At 53.0% G+C, this 17,131-nt stretch overlaps 1 protein-coding gene across 12 annotated transcripts in view, besides 5 other annotated features; it reads right to left on the bottom strand.

The window, feature by feature from the left end:
- MPRIP (myosin phosphatase Rho interacting protein) overlaps window positions 1-17,131 on the bottom strand; it is a 150,187-nt gene that overhangs the window by 41,272 nt on the left and 91,784 nt on the right. For 5 of the 12 annotated variants that reach the window (XM_005256563.5, XM_047435683.1, NM_201274.4 and 2 more), the window contains exons 6-12: window positions 14,922-15,153; window positions 13,297-13,456; window positions 8,607-8,745; window positions 7,703-7,816; window positions 5,280-5,336; window positions 3,985-4,053; window positions 1,139-1,228 (exon numbers count right to left, since the gene is read on the bottom strand). In XM_005256563.5, coding sequence (XP_005256620.1) covers window positions 1,139-1,228; window positions 3,985-4,053; window positions 5,280-5,336; window positions 7,703-7,816; window positions 8,607-8,745; window positions 13,297-13,456; window positions 14,922-15,153 — 861 coding nt within the window. Of the gene's footprint in view, window positions 1-1,138; window positions 1,229-3,984; window positions 4,054-5,279; window positions 5,337-7,702; window positions 7,817-8,606; window positions 8,746-12,942; window positions 13,457-14,921; window positions 15,154-17,131 lie in introns of all 12 variants that reach the window. The other 7 variants (NM_001364716.4, XM_011523764.3, XM_011523766.3 and 4 more) reach the window with 3 other exon arrangements.
- Window positions 952-1,031: an enhancer, noted in NCBI's record as "active region_11789". NCBI's record gives its function as "activates an Ori minimal core promoter by ATAC-STARR-seq in GM12878 lymphoblastoid cells {active_cell/tissue: GM12878}" and the evidence as "EXISTENCE:reporter gene assay evidence [ECO:0000049][PMID:35858748]".
- Window positions 8,327-8,868: an enhancer, noted in NCBI's record as "H3K4me1 hESC enhancer chr17:17045818-17046359 (GRCh37/hg19 assembly coordinates)". NCBI's record gives its function as "activates a minimal SCP1, AML or CMV promoter by ChIP-STARR-seq in primed H9 embryonic stem cells {active_cell/tissue: H9 hESC(primed)}" and the evidence as "EXISTENCE:reporter gene assay evidence [ECO:0000049][PMID:30033119]".
- Window positions 8,869-9,411: an enhancer, noted in NCBI's record as "H3K4me1 hESC enhancer chr17:17045275-17045817 (GRCh37/hg19 assembly coordinates)". NCBI's record gives its function as "activates a minimal SCP1, AML or CMV promoter by ChIP-STARR-seq in primed H9 embryonic stem cells {active_cell/tissue: H9 hESC(primed)}" and the evidence as "EXISTENCE:reporter gene assay evidence [ECO:0000049][PMID:30033119]".
- Window positions 10,112-10,702: an enhancer, noted in NCBI's record as "H3K27ac-H3K4me1 hESC enhancer chr17:17043984-17044574 (GRCh37/hg19 assembly coordinates)". NCBI's record gives its function as "activates a minimal SCP1, AML or CMV promoter by ChIP-STARR-seq in naive H9 embryonic stem cells {active_cell/tissue: H9 hESC(naive)}" and the evidence as "EXISTENCE:reporter gene assay evidence [ECO:0000049][PMID:30033119]".
- Window positions 12,661-12,750: an enhancer, noted in NCBI's record as "active region_11788". NCBI's record gives its function as "activates an Ori minimal core promoter by ATAC-STARR-seq in GM12878 lymphoblastoid cells {active_cell/tissue: GM12878}" and the evidence as "EXISTENCE:reporter gene assay evidence [ECO:0000049][PMID:35858748]".

Raw genomic sequence — 17,131 nt, 5'->3', positions numbered from 1 at the left:
CATCTGTGACTCCCCCAGTCCCAGATTCTACTCCACATGGCTCTCCCTTGGCTGGTTCTGACTTACATACTTTCTCTATAATAAAACTCATTGTAAAGACAGTACTTTCCTGAATCCTGTGAGTCATTCTAGTGAATTTTTGAAACTGAAGGTGGTTTTGGAAACCTCCGGACTCACAACTGGTGTCAGAAGTGGGGGCAGGACTGGGCACAGTGATTCATGCCTATAATCCCAGCACTTTGGGAAGCCAAGGCAAGTGGATCGCTGGAGCCCAGGGGTTCAAAACCCTCCTGGGCAACATGGTGAAACCCTGTCTCTCTAAATAATGATAATAATAATAATAATAATAATAATAATAATAAGCTGGGCATGGTGGCATGCACCTGTAGTCCCAGTTACTCTGGAGGCTGAGGTAGAAGGATCGTTAGAGTCTAGGATTTCGAGCCTGCAGTGAGCCATGATTGTGCCACTACACTCAAGCCTGGACAGAGAGTGAGACCCTGTCTTGGGGGAAAAAAAAAGAAATGGAGGCAGATGTGGCAGTCAGGAGGACTGTGCTCTTAACCTGGAGTCTGGCTGACTGCAGGCAGTCCTTGATCCACACAGTTTTGAAGAAACAGCCAATAAGAACCATTTTGTCCTACCAATAAGATTTTTTTTTTTTTTTTTTTTTTGAGAACAGTGCAATGCCTTGCTCATCTGAGTACCTCACAAGATTTTGGGAAAAAATAGCCTTGTAAGTAAATGAATGAACAAACACATGAATAAGTGAGTAAAAAGCGGATGTAAATAATTGACTAACACTTTCATTCTTATTCCCCATACCCCACATCCTTCCAATTGCCCCAACTCCAGCATTACAAAAAACAAAAGAAAAAAGGAACCTTCAGAAACAAAAAAGCTTTAAGCAGTCTTCAGAAAAAAGATACTAACGTCTAATGTACTGTTCACATCACAAATTGGGGAATAGGGTCAGGTGCCACAGGACAGAGGTGTCAAGGGTAGTGGGAAAGACTAAGTGCTGACCATACACGCTGCATCAGGCCTGTCCAGAAGTGCCCCCAGCCCAGACATTAGGCACTCTGACATGCATCCCTGCCTGTCAAGCCTGTGGCCCCACTTCCATCCCTGGACTCACATGTATCTGGAAGCCATAGTTTCTCTGAACTGGATACTCTGTGACATCGTAACATGCGGACAAGTCAATTTCTCCATCCAAGTCGGCTGCCTGCCGAGGGAAGTGAGAATGTCTTGAGATTTTTAGGAAGTAGAACCAATGCCTAGATGAGCAAATTTCCGTAAGTGATTTTCTGCACTGACTTTACTTTTAATAGTATACACACTGACAAGTGAGGACACCGTCTATCCTACTACTGCATGACCCAGGCCCCTCACTGGGTGCAATCACACCACCATCTGTCCCTGTATCCAGCCAAAGATAGTCCACGCCAGTGGTCCTCAAACATGCTGCTGTTGAAATCCCTTCACACTCTTAAAAACTGGTGGCCCTAGAAGAGCTTCTGTTAGGTGGATTTCATCTATTGATGGTATTTACTATGTTAGAAATTAAAATGTAAATATTTTAAAAATTTTAATTTAAAAATATTTAAATATATTTTAAAATATATTATAAAATATATTTTATACATTTAAATATATATGAAAATATATATTAATATAAATGTAAAATTTAAATATATTTGTTCATTTGAGAATAAAATAAATTCATTTTAAAATAAAAATCTGATTTAACAATCAGTGATAAGAGTCACATTGCTTTGAATTTTTGCAAATCTCTCTAACATCTGTCTTCAGAAAGGACAGCTGGATTCTTGTTTCTGCATTCCATCTGTTCAATACGGAAGTTTTTTTTTTTTTTGAGATGGGGTCTTGCTCTGTCACTCAGGCTGAAGTGCAGTGACACGATTTCAGCTCACTGCAACCTCTGCCTCCCGGGTTCAAGTGATTCTCTTGCCTCAGTCTCCCGAGTAGCTGGGACTACAGATGACCACCACCAAGCCCAGCTAATTTTTGTATTTTTAGTAGAGACAGGGTTTCACCATGTTGGCTAGGCTGGTCTCAAACTCCTGACCTCAGGTGATCCGCCTGCCTTGGCCTCCAAAGTGCTGGGATTACAGGCATGAGCCACCGCCCCCGGACAACAAAGGAAGTATTTTTAATAGCTTTTTCAGGTAGTTGTGGCTGTTCTTTGACAAGCAGTAGGCTCTTAAAGGTTAACTGCAATGTGGTATCTGAAATCATGCCCATGAACTCTCTGTACTGTGTTACATTAAAACCCAGGCATGCTTTTGTAACATTAGGTACTGGTCACATGGAAAATATTGTTATGCACAGCTTCCAATTGTCTACACATTTCATTATGTAATATTAAAATATCGCCTTTGCTAATACCACCACCTATTTCATCAGGAGAGTGTAAGTAAAGGGAAGTTCATGATGGTGAATACAAATTTTCCCAAGTTCTAATTTTTGCTTGGAAGCTCAAATTATATCACTGGCAACAAATTCTGTCAGTTGTTTTCCTTAGAGGAATGAGCCAACTTGGTTCATTTTCATGAAAATATATGCCAAACACCCAAAATTAATGACCACAGTTTTGCCTATCAGTTGTTTTTCAAGTAAACGTGGTGCTCCAAAAGAAGCTGCTAGTTCAGCTGGCAACTCAATCACACAAGTCCTTTCCATGAGAAAGCCTGCACACTCTAGTATGCAGCCAGGCGATGCTTACTTCCCATTTCAAATCACAGAATATTAAAAAGATGGGCATTTAAAGATTGAGGCTTCATAAAATTAGTAACTTCTGCTGCTCTTTCAAGGACCTTATTTATTTTAAAACGATTAATTATTTAAAATGTATGGCAGTGAAGAATCCAGTGACCACTGGTCCAGCCTGTTGCTACAGATGGGGCTGTGCCAAGTGCTAGTGGCTTTACCTCCCATTGCTTTTGCACCATCAGTGCAGATGGTCACACGCAAAAAAAAGTCAATGACATCTTAATATTACAAATTATTTTAACCACCACTGCTCTCCTGAAAGGGCCTCAGGGACCCCCAGAGGTCTACAGACCACACTCGGAAGTGCTCTTCTATGCACATGCAACCAAACACTTACATAGGCTCCTTACTTCCCCAACGCTGGACACCACCAGAGGCCCACCGCCCACACTCTCCTACCCCTACTTCTTATCACTACCACCTTTTCTCCTTCAGTCTGTAAAGACTGGCTCAGAGTATTTAATACATATCCCGGCCCTTAATGATGGGTATTTAGGCTCTTTCCAATCATCTGGCTGTTACAAACGTGTGGGAATGACTAACCTGAAACAGACGTTTTTCCACATGTGGGAGTTATCTGAGGGATTCCTGGAGTGAAACTACTGGGGAAAAGGCAAAGGAGACTTGCCAAACTGTTTAGAAGAGGTTATTTTATTTGTAGGTGAAGAAAAAAAGAACCCCTTCTATTTGGTCCTTGACCACAGAATCAGGACTGTCCAGGGGCCCAAAAAAGCTCATCTATCCTATCCTGTCCTTGTCCAGAAGGCAGGGCACAAGATGTAGTTCAATTCTTCCAACTCCATTTACCATGAAATCTCTTTGTGGAAAAAACAAAATTGTTCATCCTGAGTTTTCAAATTTCAGTGTTTTTCAAAGAACAGAGAAAAGAAAAGCTGCCCAAACCCACTGCACTGGGCACTTAATTCAAGGCCTTGACGAAGCCCAGCATCACAGCCAGGAAAATGATCACAAGGACAAAGGCTGGTCTTGTGCTCACCTTCCCACCAGGTCGGGACTGGGAAACCCAAGAGGGCAACATGGACATACCTTCGGCAAGGTAACACCACCGAAGGGCGCTGTCCTCAGAAGTGGGGACATTAGCCCAGGGGGAAGCAGATCTACTAGCCCCAGATGCCGCCTGGACCCCTCCAGCTGTCTCCACAGCAGAGGCAAAGCCCAGACACTCACCTCCTCAGCCACTGAATCCCTGTAGTATCTCAGGCTTTGATCGGCGAGGACAAACCAGTGTTTCTTCCACTAAAGGGGAAGAAAAGAAAAATGACTCGACTACCAACTCCTATACAGCATGCCTGCCACGCCACGGCGGTGCGCAGCCAGAGCCTGTGGGGCCCTCCCAGAGCACAGGGAAAGCAGGGGACAGGCTGGCCCCTCCCTTGACAGCATACAGAGGACTCTGCTCGGACTGCAGGCAGCCATGCGCTCACACCCTCAGGACGCTCACTAAGCTGTGACCCTCCAGTGAAGAGGCAGCACAGACAGCTGAGCAGGCCTTGGCTGTGGGCTCTATGACCAATGGTGTGGCTGGTGGCCAGGCCGTGCGGTCCTCAGTAACTACAGAGGCTGCAGACAACAGGCTGGGCCCATCAGAACGGAAAGGTGGCTGTGAAATGGCATCTCCACCTGCAGGTGGCAGCCCGCAAGCCATGGCCATGTGGCCTCCTAACCAGCAGGGGTAACTAACCAGCTAGAGACCAAGTCTTCACTGTGAGCAGTAAGGAAGGGAACTTGAGTCTTCATGCCAGGCCAAGGGCATTTGATATGGAGGAGAAATAAAGAGGATGTCTTGGGATAGCAGCTCAGGAAGCAGGAAGGGAGTGAGGATGGGCTAGGCATCAGGGCCTCTTAGGTAAGGACCCAGCAGGCTTTTCTTCATGCCTCCTTGGGAGGCCTGGCCTTCCAGCCCATGGCACAGGGTCAAGGTGGGCTGGCAGGTCCAGCCTCAGATGGCTCTTCCTGCTTGAGTCTGATGGCAAGAATGTACCATGTTTGCTCCTTCCAGGGCTAACACTGCCACTGCAGCTGAGGGGTCTCTGGCATGAGAGTCTTGCAGTGCTAGGCTACTGTCTACTTGGCTGGCTTGCATGGAAACACAAGCCAATCCCACAGCCAGAGAGTTTCTTTGTCCCTGGGGAAGCCAGGCCCCTAAACAACTTTTAGGAAAGATCACCAGGTGGGGGCTAGTGTTACAAGGCATCCCTAAGGCCGGGCCAACACCCGCTTGCCATCAGCAGACAGGCCTACCGAGTGCCCCTCCAGAGCACCCCCCACTGCAGAAATGAAGGCTGTGTGCCTGCACTTCTAGGAGCAGATGGGAGTCTCAGCCACAGCCCTGGTCATGAAGACAAGGGGCATGGAGGAGGAAGGCATGGAGCCAGCACTTGCAGACTGGCTGGGGACAAGGACAGCTCACCCTCACCCTGTCCCCAGATCCCTCAGGGGCCACGGCAACCCTGCACACTCACCTGGCCGTCCTCATACTGCTTAGTCAGCCAGCCTTTCTTGAAATTCAGCAGGTCGGGCTGAGAAAGGGAGAAAAAAGAACAGCTCAGAGGAAACTCTTCTAGTGTCATGAGTGTCTGATGGGGCCAGTATTTCTGTCCAGATGAGGCGGGTACCAGGAAAGGGGTTTCTCCACCTGCCAGACAAGCCTGTGCAGCCCCCTCACCCTGGTGGGTGCTGCCTGCAACCAGCCTTCTGTAGGCACACGCGACCTTGAGGAAGGAGATGCTGGGCTTGGCAGGCTGGCAGGAGAGAAGGTATGGTCTCATTGCCCTGTGAGCAGTGTGGGCTCCGGCCTGTACAGGGCCCACTGCACAGGGCCTATCTGGGAGGCAGAAAACAAGCCCAGATGAAGAGTCACAGAACATTTTATTTGAAGGGAAACATCTGCAGGGAAGGCTGAAAGGAGAATTGATTCAAAAGTTCTTGCAGAAGCCACAGGAAGCCTGGGAAACAGAGACGTGCGGTGTTGAGGAAGCAGCAGCTGCAGCCCCGCTGAGACCCTCAGGCCATTTCTCCACCAGGAATAGGCTTGACCTGTATTCCCCCACAAGAAGCAGGATGGCAGACAGGGGGGCAGCGCCCAGGCACAGCGCTCTTGTCCTTCCTCCACCTGTGCCGCCCAGACACACCTGGGCCCTGAGGAACAGCCTGAGACAGCACTGCCATCTACAGCCCACCTGGCTGGCCCCACAGAGACATGGGTCACCTTATCTCTGGTCCGAGGTGCTCTCTTTTCTACAGCCATCTGAGCAGAAGCTAGCTTTGATGTCTGTTTGTATTATTCCAAGGAGTGAGAGTGAGAACAGGCAAGAATTGTCAGGATAACTACCAGAACAAAGCGCTCTGGGAGCCTCTGCTCAGAACCCTGTCTCTGAGGAGTGAGGAAGGAACCACAGTCCGCTGCTGCCTAGGTCTGGCCAAGACTGACCCAGATAGATAAGAAGTCCCTCTACAGAGCCCTGTTTCAACCCCAACGTCCTGCCAAGCTGTGCAACTGTCCTTGCCGCCAGAGTTATTTGAAGCACCCAATCAAAAGCAACACTGTGAAATTAGGACACCCTACCCCAAGTAGCCCTTAAATAGGGAGGTCCTCTCCTGCAAGCTTGTAGTTGCCATTGCGGCACAGGACCTGAGACGTGGGACTGCCACCTGCCCCCTCTCTGACAGCCTGCTTAGCTTGCAGATCTTTCTTTTTTTTGAGACGGAGTCTCGCTCTGTCGCCAGGCCGGAGTGCAGTGGCGCGATCTCAGCTCACTGCAACCTCCGCCTCCCGGGTTCAAGCGATTCTCCTGCCTCAGCCTCTCAAATAGCTGGGACTACAGGAGCGCGACACCACACCCAGCTAATTTTTGTATTTTTAGTAGAGTCAGTGTTTCACCATGTTGGTCAGGATGGTCTCGATCTCTTGACCTCGTGATCTGCCCACCTCGGCCTCCCAAAGTGCTTGGATTACAGACGTGAGCCACCGTGCCCGGCCTAGCTTGCAGATCTTTAACAAAAACTCGTAATTTCCATATCATGGTTGTGCCATTGAAGCCAAGCCTGCAATCTGACCCCAATGGCAAGGCCTATGCAGGTGGGTTCCCTGCTGGTGTTCTCTGTTGGGGAAGGCGCTCCCAGCTAAGTTAACAGAGAAACAAGGAGTTTTGTTCAAGACACCTGAAGCAAAACCCAGACTGAAGGAAAAACCCAAACCTTACTCCTCCTCACACTCCATGTTACACATCAATCTGTGGTTGGCAGCCCCCAAGCCCTGGGGCAGGCCGGAGGCCCATGGTGAGCTGCTGTGCAGGCAGCAAGGAGGAGACAAGAGGCAGTGAGCAGGCCCCAGGCTCCCCTGGAGGCTGAAGACAGAGCGGGTAGGAGCTGGGTCAGCATGCTGAGTTGGCCTTGCTCCTGTACCCTGACCACTCCTTCCGCACCTCTGTTGTCATAGCTCTGAGGCCCATGGAGAACCTGGTGCAAGGCCTGCTCTTCCACTTGAGGCATGACACGGAGAACGAGACAAGCTCCAGCAAGACGTGGCCTCTGCCTCCGAAGTGCCACAAAAAGCAATGCCCAAAGCCAGAGGAGCGGAGGGTCCCTGCTGCAGCCCTGCCGCCTAGAGTCGGGAGTCTGCCTAGCCCGAGGTGGCCTCCTCCGCAGGGCCTCCTCCCAGAGCTCAGGATGCCATGGAGCCCTTGGTTCTGCTGGGACCAGAAAAGGGAAGAAACAGAATCTGTGTTCGACGGCCTGTGGGTCGGTGGGTGGGGGTGCTCACGGACACGAGGGCCTGTGCACAGAGGGACAGCTGGCATGGACGCATAGACAGAAACAGACAGCGCCTCAGAGTGACCAGAAGCAGAGGAGCACGGCCTCCGGAGGACGCGGCGCCTGGGCTCACCGTCACGGAGGGCTCCGTGGACCTCCTGTCCAGTGACTTGGCTCTTCGGTGTGGAGACAGGGGGGAAGCCGAGGCGTCTGGGAGAGGAGCTGGGGGGGCTTCATTGGTGAAGTCCTGTGGCAGAGAGCAGCCGCTGGTCAGTGCAGCCCAGGGCAATGTGGGCATGTGAGGGACGAGCTGGTGCTGTCCACCCCTCCAAGAGCCGCCAGGGCCTTGCTCCTGGCGAGGGGCAGTGATCTGCCTAGCCACCATAGCAAGTCTGCAGCAGGGCCAGGACAGGACCCGGGTCCTGAGATGCCCTGGTTGATAGAGCAGCCTTTTCTTTTGGATTCCCAGTCACTGTCACTTTCCTGGCCCCACCCCATCCTCCAGCTTCTCTGGGTCACAGAAGGAAGAGCCCTGGGCTCTGTGGTGGCAGGTGGCAAGCTGTGGGCCAGACAGTAGGCACTAGGCACCTTGTGAACAAGAGAGAAGCCAGGAGAAGATGAGCTTAGACTTGGCCGGCTACAAAAGCAGCAGGCGGGTGCCCAGGAGGATTTCAGAAGCCGAGTCTACCTTGGGCTGAGTGGAGAAACGAGGGGTGTAGTTGTACTGAAAGAAAGAGTTAGGAAGGTGTGACATTCAGCCTTGTTGCTGGGCTGTCTCAGATAGGAAGAGAGTGATCCTAATTAAATCTGGGATCTAAAATGCATGAGAATATCCTTCAGCAGAGACGGAGAAGGCTCTGATATGAAGCTGCAGGAGACAGGCCTGCTCTCAAGAAGTCACTATGCAGAGGAGGTGGTTGGAGAGAAGCCTGGCAGGAGCACATCCCAGGCCTGTGTGGAGGGGACTTGGCGCATGGGGTGCATGCTGACCCGCCCCCGAGCCACCCCTGAGGTGCTGCCCAGCCCCAGGAGCTCACCCGCTTCCTAGGGAACGCCCTCTTCTCGCTGCGGCCCTGGCGTGTGTCGCTGGATGGTGAGGGCCCCACTGCATTGGTCTCCATGTGCTCTGCCTTCTCAATGTCCAAGGCCTCAAACTTTTCAATCACCTGGGACCTCCTGCAAGAGAGGACACGAGGCCCTGAGGTGGCAGTGAGGTGAGCTGTGAGGTGGCAGTGAGCCGACTCCTCCCATGCCCGGCCTGGCCCGGGCCTGATTCCCCTCAGGCTTGCACAGCACCGAGGTTGTCTAGACACGTGCTCAGCTGACCCGAGCTCTGCCTGCACCCCTCCACGGCCCTCCCTCCCATCAGGCCTGCGCTTGCCCCTACCCTCTGCCCCCGCGCTAGAGGCCCTGCAGGCTCTGTGGTGCTGACCCACTCGGCATTCACACAGCTTGGCACCCGGCAGCCTCTCCTGAGCCACAGACATGATCAAAAGGCAACCACCACCACGGAAGGCAGCCTCCATTCTCATTGCATCCCTCATGGATCACAGTGCACCCCCCACCCCAAAATTTAGCAAGGAAGAGGCCCAGGAATTAACATTGTTTCTGCCAACAGTAAAAGGAATCAAAGACCAAATTAAAACAAAAACAAAGCAGGCTGATTTCATGTGAAAGGGCTGGCGGCCTCCTCAGGCTGTCTACGGCCGGAGACGGAGCTTAGATGGGGGCGAAGCGGGTGGAGGAGGCGCAGCGCCACCCAGCGGCACAGCAGGAGAGCGCAGAGGCAAGACCTGAAAGAAAACAAGGCTGGGAAATGAATACATGGAAGAGCGCTGCTTTTTCAAATCAAATAATGGTGAACCAAAATTATCCAAAGAATTAAAGAAGCAAAAACCCAAGGTAATCACTGAAGAGGGAGAGAGACCATGATTGTCCTCCAGCTGCAAGAAGTCACCCTGGTGGGGTCAGAGGTGGGGGACGCACCAGCTGAGGCTCAGCTCACAGGGCCGGGCCTGTTCTCCCAGGGGCACCTAAGTTACCTGGCGGGGAGGGTGTCACTGCTGCTCTGGACAAGAGGATAAGAACCCAGAGGAAGTGGGTGAAGGGCTCCCAAGCCTGGAAGCCTAATTATCTCCACAAGGAAGAGAGGAAACAAGATCAATTCCTGAGACCCCACCTCCCCCAAGAGGCCAGCTGCTTCTCAGGGAGTGCGAGGGAAAACTGGCTGCCTAAGGCGTCTTCACCCCCGGAGAGAGGAGGGCGAGGGCCCCGGGCTCTGCTTCCTCCCTGCGCTTAGACACAAAGTGTCTTCCTCAGCTCAGCTTCCTCCCTGTGCTTAGACACAAAGTGTCTTCCTCAGGAAAGAAGCTTGTGCCGGGCCAGCCTGCTAGAACCAGCAGCGGAGGCAGGCGCTGGGGTAGGGGAGCAGCAGAGGCCGCGGCATTGTGAGAGCAGGAAGCTAAGGAAGCTGCTGGAGTTCCAGGACACCCAGGGAAAGCTTGGTAAGTGCAAGCCAGGCGTCCACCACACTTGAGCGATTGTGGTGGGATCTTGGTGAGATTCAAGGCTCACCAACAGGCCACTTCCAGGATGAGGGCTCCTCTGCCCAACACTGGGGCCTAGAAAGCCCCAGGAAAGCAGTGAGGAACTGCTGGGCTTTAACCTCATGCAAATCGCATGCCGTGGTACTGTGGGGATCCAGACAGAGGAGTCGTGGTGGAGAAGAGGAAAGGCACTTGCTACAGTCACTCTGCATGGGGGCCTGGGGAGATCCTGTAAGACCACAGGCTCGCACACTGGCTGCCCTGATCTACTGGGCGAGGTGGAAAGTTATTACTTGGTGCCCTGGAAGCTGCAGGTGGGACAGCAAGCACCTTACTGGTCAGCACAGAAAACGGGGCCTGCACCCTGCAGCTCCAGGGTTCCCAGGGCACTAACCGCTGTGCTGAGGGCAGGGGGGTTAGGGCTACATGGGGAGCTGTCCTTGCTGCCAGTCACCAGCAGGCCAACCAGGAAAACAACTTCCCCCACTCAGCAGCCAGAGGTGACTCACTATCCAAGAAACACTCTGGAAGTCTGAGGAACGGACACATCGAAGCCCAGAACCGGTCAGGTTCAGATAGGCTTGCCTAGATGACTGTGGCTTGTCAAAAAACCAACCCTGTGGTCCCAGCAGTCTGGCTCCTGGGCACACCTATTGTGGCTGCCATTTCAGGTAGGTGTGGCCAAGAATCTCTTGCCAATTTGGAGATTCTGCTCTAATCAACCAGGGGACAGGAATCCAACCAAGCACAGGGTGGGCTACTAGGGATCCAGTGAGCAGGCCTCAGAAAGCGACAGCAGCCAATCAGATGTCACCAGGGTCAGGAGAAAGGGATGCTGCAGTATTAGTATGCAGAACTGGTGGGGGGTGGGGCCAGCACCAGGTGAAAACCCATCCCCGTGTGGCAGTGCATGCAGAGTACAAAGCCCCAGAGACTGCACCTGTCCCAGGCGACAGGAGACAAGAACGAGTTCAAAAGGAGTCTCTCCGAGAAGAAGCCAAGCCAAGCAGGTGTGCTGAATGCTAATTCTGTGGTCTGGCGCTAAACCAGGACATAGCTGATCCTGCTCTGGAGCCACCACGACACACAGCCTGCTTGCCAGCCAGCATGAAGCCTCCCCTGCCCACCCACTGGCCTCCTCCTCTCTCTAGCAAAACCCTTTACTTATATATTTTCTTAATTGCTTAAAAGAGCATCCTTGGCATCAGTCCTGGATCACAGGATGGGAGCAGGGACTTCCTGGCTAAGGCCCCACTGGGATCTGCACCAGCTATCCATTGTTGAGAAGTCACCTACTCCTGAGCCTCAGTTTTCACATCTATAACTGGGGGCGGTAGTAACAGATCCTCATCAGGCTACTATGAAACATTAAGGCAGCCAAGTGCTTAGCAGAGCACCCTGGGGCACTAGGCAGGGGCTGGGAACCACTTGGCTGCCCTTCCTTTCCCTAGGAAGTCAACGTGTCATTTTCCTCTCACCAGCAGTATCTCTGGGAGATGCTTCCTTATCCTGGAGACTAACCTGCAGGCTCACAGGCCTTTTCATCTGGGACGTTTGGAAGAGTGGGTGGGCTGTCAGCCAATGGTGGGTGCTCAGAAGAAAAGGGGGCAGGATGTAAAGACACTTCCCTCCACCTGCCCTTCGAGGCACGGGAGCCCATGGCTGCCTTCACCTGTCCCTCCTGGTAGCGTCTCTAACTCTGAGCTCCAGGTTGTGGCTGGGGAAGGGAGGACACTCTGAGAAGACTTCCAGAACTATGGTTTGAACCTCTTTTCTGGACAGTGAACCTTGGGAACCTAATGAAAACTATGGGTCTTCTTCCCAGAAGAGTGCCTAACCCTAACTCTCTTCTGGGAAGAATACTGTGAAATTGTTTTATTGAGGGGGCAGGTCATCATGGACCTCCAGAAGTCTGTAAGTCTATCCATAAACCTGGCTGAGGAACCCTGCTGTCAAGGCAAAGCCTCAGTATACAGATGCAGGGGTGCAAGCCTGATTGAAGGCGTGCTTGGGCACTTGCGTCTGGATTTGGGCTTGGAGGCCTCAGAGGACATCCAACTCTTTCTCTAGTTCTCCAGGAAACTCTGGAGAACAAGGGCAGGGCAGGGCATGGGCCCTCATCTTCTTCGGCAGCAGTCAAGTTCTGCACCTGTGCCCCTGGTCCCTGCCCTAGGCCCGGATGTCCAAACTTTCTCTCTCTCCAGCCAGTCAAAGTCTTAGAGGGCAAAAAGCAATGCTCCCCTGGAGGGCAAAAGCAATGCTATTTGGTGCTCAGCTGCTTCACAGGTTGCCTCAGGTTTCCTGGGGCTGTGGCTCCCCAGGGAGCATGTCCTTGAGAGAGGAACCTGTGCTGCCCCCACCTTCCTGGGCATGCCTGTCTGCCTCTGAACCTCTCAGTGCCCTTTGCCCACCCTGGGACTGCCAGGGTGAGGAGCGCCTCTGTCACCACATGTAGCTCTAGGGACTCCCTGCCTCCATGCCACTTCAGAGAATAGAAATGGCCCAGGAGGAAAAGATCCAGCCCCACAAGGACCAGGCAGCTGAGAACCCATCAGGGAACCTTAAGGTCCCAGTCCTAGGAGGCACTGATGTGAAAACTGCTATTCTTGGCGTCGACCTCTGATGCTCAGAAATTCTGCATTCTGGCTACTAGAGCTGAGTTCTGGGCCCAGAGGGAAAATACCCCTATGCTCTGAACAGAAAGCATGCTCCGCCAAGGGAGGCTTGGGGACTGTATGTGAGAGAAACAGAGAGTATGAGTGTATGTGCGTGGGTGGAAGTGCATGTGTGTGGGCCTGGGTGTTCAACCCTCTAACCTGCTCCTTACCTCCGCTCGTTGCCAAACAGACGGGCCACCTCCTCCCTGCCAGGGCTCCGGGCCCGAGTTCTACGCTCCAGCCGCCTTCTCTCCACCTGGAAGGCTTCTCGGTGGCTGATCCTGATGGCCTTAGGGACGTCGGCCAGGGTGGCATATTGCCTGCTGGCTTTAAAGGCAAAGGCGCTCCCCAGTCTCTCTGTCCCCCGCCCCCTAGTGCTGCCAGAGTCCACGTAGGCAGGTGGCTGGCTGGCCACATCCAGGGAGCTGAGGGAGATGCTGCAGACCATTTGGTGGGGGAGTCGAGGACCTGGGGAAGGAAGAGGACCACCGAGCTCCTGGGAGGGCGACTCGGGGCAACTGTACCTGTGGTTGGGGGTGCTGGGGCTGGGAGGGGAGAGCGGCGGGGGCAGCTGCTGTTCTTCAGCCTTCAAGTCCTGTTTGGTCTTCTCCAGAGAGAAGTAGCCGCTCTCCACCCGGACTTTGCGGCCACAGTCCATGCGGTCGCTACTCATGGCGCTCTCCTCTGGAAGAGACAGTGGGAGGGAGGAGACGCACTCAGCCTGCTGGCAGCTTTGCTTTGAGGACTTTTTTTTTTAAAGCCCATGTAGGATCCAAGCAGGGGCCTTCTCCACCTCCCGTCTCTAACATCCAGCACACCCCACTCAAGGGCAGAGTGAGACGGAAAGAACCATGGATGGGAATGAAATATTTCGTGCATGCTTTTTTCTCTCATCCATCTCTCCCCTGCAGCTGGCTGCCTCTCAGCCAGACTGGCAGGCAGGCCCTGCAGTTCTAGTCTGGGGGCTTGGCTGGAAGATCAGATCTGTACCTCAGGACGCAAGACCCCCACCACCAACCGCTTCTCACCAACATCAAGGGGGAAGCTGACAGCCAACAAGCCCTTCAGTATTTTTTTTTTTTTTTTTGAGATGCAATCTCGCTCTGTCGCCAGGCTAGAGTGCAGTGGTGTGATCTCAGCTCACTGCAACCTCTGCCTCCTGGGCTCAAGTGATTCTCCTGCCTCAGCCTCCCAAGTAGCTAGGACTACAGGTGTGCACCCCCACATCTGGCTAATTTTTGTATTTTTAGCAGAGATGGGATTTCACTATGTTGGCCAGGCTGGTCTCAAACTCCTGACCTCAGGTGTTCCACCTGCCTCAGCCTCCCAAAGTGCTGGGATTATAGGCGTGAGCCACCATGCCCGGCCCCTTCAGTCTTTTAATGCATTCTGGTGGTGGGAAGGGGCAGGGGACTTCTACAGAAGTGAGACAGAGTGAATAGATTTTTGAATGGATAGGCCTGAGAGGAAGATTCAGACACCTTCCACCCAGAGTGCATGTAGAAGATGCAGACAGAGCGAGCTGGGCTGGCCCCTGCTGCTCACTTATTTTTAACAATCTAGACAAAATACAGATGGGAAAACCCAGCCTGTGTCTTACAGAGCCCTCTAGAGCCTGGGAACAAGACAGACAAAGATGGAAGACCTGCTCCTGCTCAGGTAATTCCAAAGTGCTAAAAGACAGGGCACGAGGATGCCAACTGCTGCCTCCCCAGCACCCCTTCCCCTCCTTCTGCCAGGGGCCCAGGCAGAATGCGGATGGTGAGAGGGATGAGACTGACTGCAGCTTCTTGGGGCAGGATGCACACAGAAAGAAACACGATGGTGCAGTGACAGAGGCCTTCCCATCCACAGACCCTGCTGCAAAACGTTTTTGATTCTCCTGACAAGCAACTGGGGCTGACAGAACAGGAGCTGTCTTCCTCCTTTAAAGATGGGATTTAAGAGCTAGAAGGGGCAAGGCCAAGACTGGAGCCCGGGAATCTCAGAACATACCAGGCCAGGTGCTACCCCCAGGGCTGATGGACAAAGGGAATCGAGGTCCAGGCTTGCGACTGGGCTCTACAGGCCTTGGCTGAATCCCCAGGGCCAGCTCTGATGGGAGGGAGGGCCATTCCCGTGCATACAAGCCAGCCTGGCCTCCGCTCACCTTCTTTGCTCTCTAGCCCAGGTTCCCGCAGGGAGCTGGCAGCAGGAGGCTGGCTCTGGCTGGGACTCTGAGCTGGACTCAGGCTGCTGCCATCTGGCTGGTCCTTGGTCCTCATTTCTTCCTGCCAGAGTGTGGACTTGGTGGTGGGGACTTTCTCAGCACTGGGGATGCTGCTGCTGCTGCTGCTGCTGCTGCTGCTGCTGGTAACAGCCACCTTGGCAGGCCCAGGCTCCTGGAGGAGGAGAAAGTGGTGTCTGTGAAGGTGCAGGAGCACACAGCTCAGGTTGGGTCACAGGTCCTGGCTGCCTAGCTATAGGGGGCACCCGGGCCAGCTACACAATGTCAGGGGCCTGGAATCTTCAGATACTGCCCCAAAACAGTGAGACCACAGTAGTTGCTTTGGAGTCTGTCATTCCTAGACATCCAAGACTCAAATAAGGTGAGACAGAACAGAGTAAGGAAAGAGAACACACCCTCGAGACAGGTCCAGCATCATCTGTAGCTCCTTACAGTGAATGCAAGAACAAGTTCACAGCGCCCAAGTCTGGGCCAGCCCTGTGGCCTTACCCACCCTCTGCTTTTTGCCCCTAAGAAGCTAAAATGGAGTGCCCAGACGCTATGTGAAGGAAAGAGTCGTCAGATGCAAATTAAATGCTATGGTTTCAATGTCTGTGTCTCCCCACAACTCATGTGTTGAAATCCTAACCCCCAAGGTGATGGTATCAGGAGGTGGGGCCTTTAGGAGGTGATTAGGTCATGAGAGTGGAGCCCTCATGTACAGGATTAGTGCCTTCATAGAAGAGGCCTCAGAGAGCTGCCTTGCCCCTTCTAACATGTGAGGACCAGCAAGGGGGCCCTCACCAGACACCCAAAATACTAGCACTTTAATCTTGGACTAACCAGCCTGCTGTGAGAAAAATTTCTATTATTTATAAGCTGACTAGCCTGTGGTATTTTATTATAGCAGACAGAACACACAAAGACACCAAATACCCCACTTGAATCTGCACACAGGCACACACTCACAAATGCATATACACATTCATGTGCACATGCTTGCTCTCTCACACTCACAAGCTCACACACAAAGCTAGATACAAGCCAGTAGCCCAGATGGAAAAGGTGTCAATCCCCAATCTCTCCATGGTTCTGGAAGTGGTAGCTCCGAGGGAGAAGTGTTTGTGGGGCAGGCATTTAGGCAGATGCAGAGGCAGTCCCTGGGCAGAGAACCCTAACTTGACTCTGCAAACACAGAATCCAGGCAACAGCAGGGCTGTGATCCTCAGCTGCTCCGCAGTGCCAGGTCACATCCTGGGCCCCAACAACCCTGCCCAGAGGGCTGCCAACAGGATGGCTTTGGCCCCTCTCCAAAAGTGAAGCACATCTCAGCTCTCTCGCAAAAGACAAGAGCATGATATACAAGTGCCCACTTCCCACTCCCATCCTGATGGCCAAGCCTCATTTTTAGAAAACCACCTTAGTCTCTCTCTGGCTTGGGCCCTTGGAGAGGCTTGCAGATGACACAGGTTCTTTATATGCATGTATGTGCGCACACTTGCAGATGCAGCATCACCACCAGACTATTTATCAATAGCCTGGCTGGGATCCATACATCCAGTCTCACCCACCCACCTCCCAAGGGAGGCCGCAGGCGCTGACAGAAGAGGCAGCAGGCCCACACGCACACAGCCAGTGAGGGGCAGCATGGGGGTCTGAGTGTTTCCACCACGTGCTCCAGAAGCAGGAAGGCCATGGGGTGGTGGGGCACTGCCTTGGGTGGGGCTCTGGGTCCAAAGCTGTTGGCACTTTTGCAAGGATTCCAGGCCTCACGGACAGGATAAAAGCAGGGAGGCTCTTCCCACAGACCCAGGACGCACACCTGACCACCTACTCAGCTTAGGGCTGCCAGCAGACAGACTCCCAGGCTGAAGGCTCCCCTCAGAAGAAGCCAGCTTCTCGGAAGCAAACAGTGAAGGTTTCTCCTGACAAGTTTCCCAAGGGCTCCAATGACCCAAGGGGATGCCGCCCCAGGACGACCTGTCCCTGCACCAAGCACAGCATCCTGGGCTGCTTACCCATGGGAAACCAGCAGCTGTGCTGCCCTGGGAAGAAGACCCAGGGCAGAACCACCCTAACTGCCCACCCCGGCAGCAGCGCTTCCCCAAAGCACAAGTTGCTCTAGAGCCTTGCTTGCCAAGCAGGGCCTCTCT

The sequence above is a fragment of the Homo sapiens genome, chromosome 17, assembly GCF_000001405.40.
Source record: "Homo sapiens chromosome 17, GRCh38.p14 Primary Assembly".
Classification (NCBI taxonomy): Eukaryota; Metazoa; Chordata; class Mammalia; order Primates; family Hominidae; genus Homo; species Homo sapiens.
This window is presented reverse-complemented; position numbering and strand designations above follow the sequence as displayed.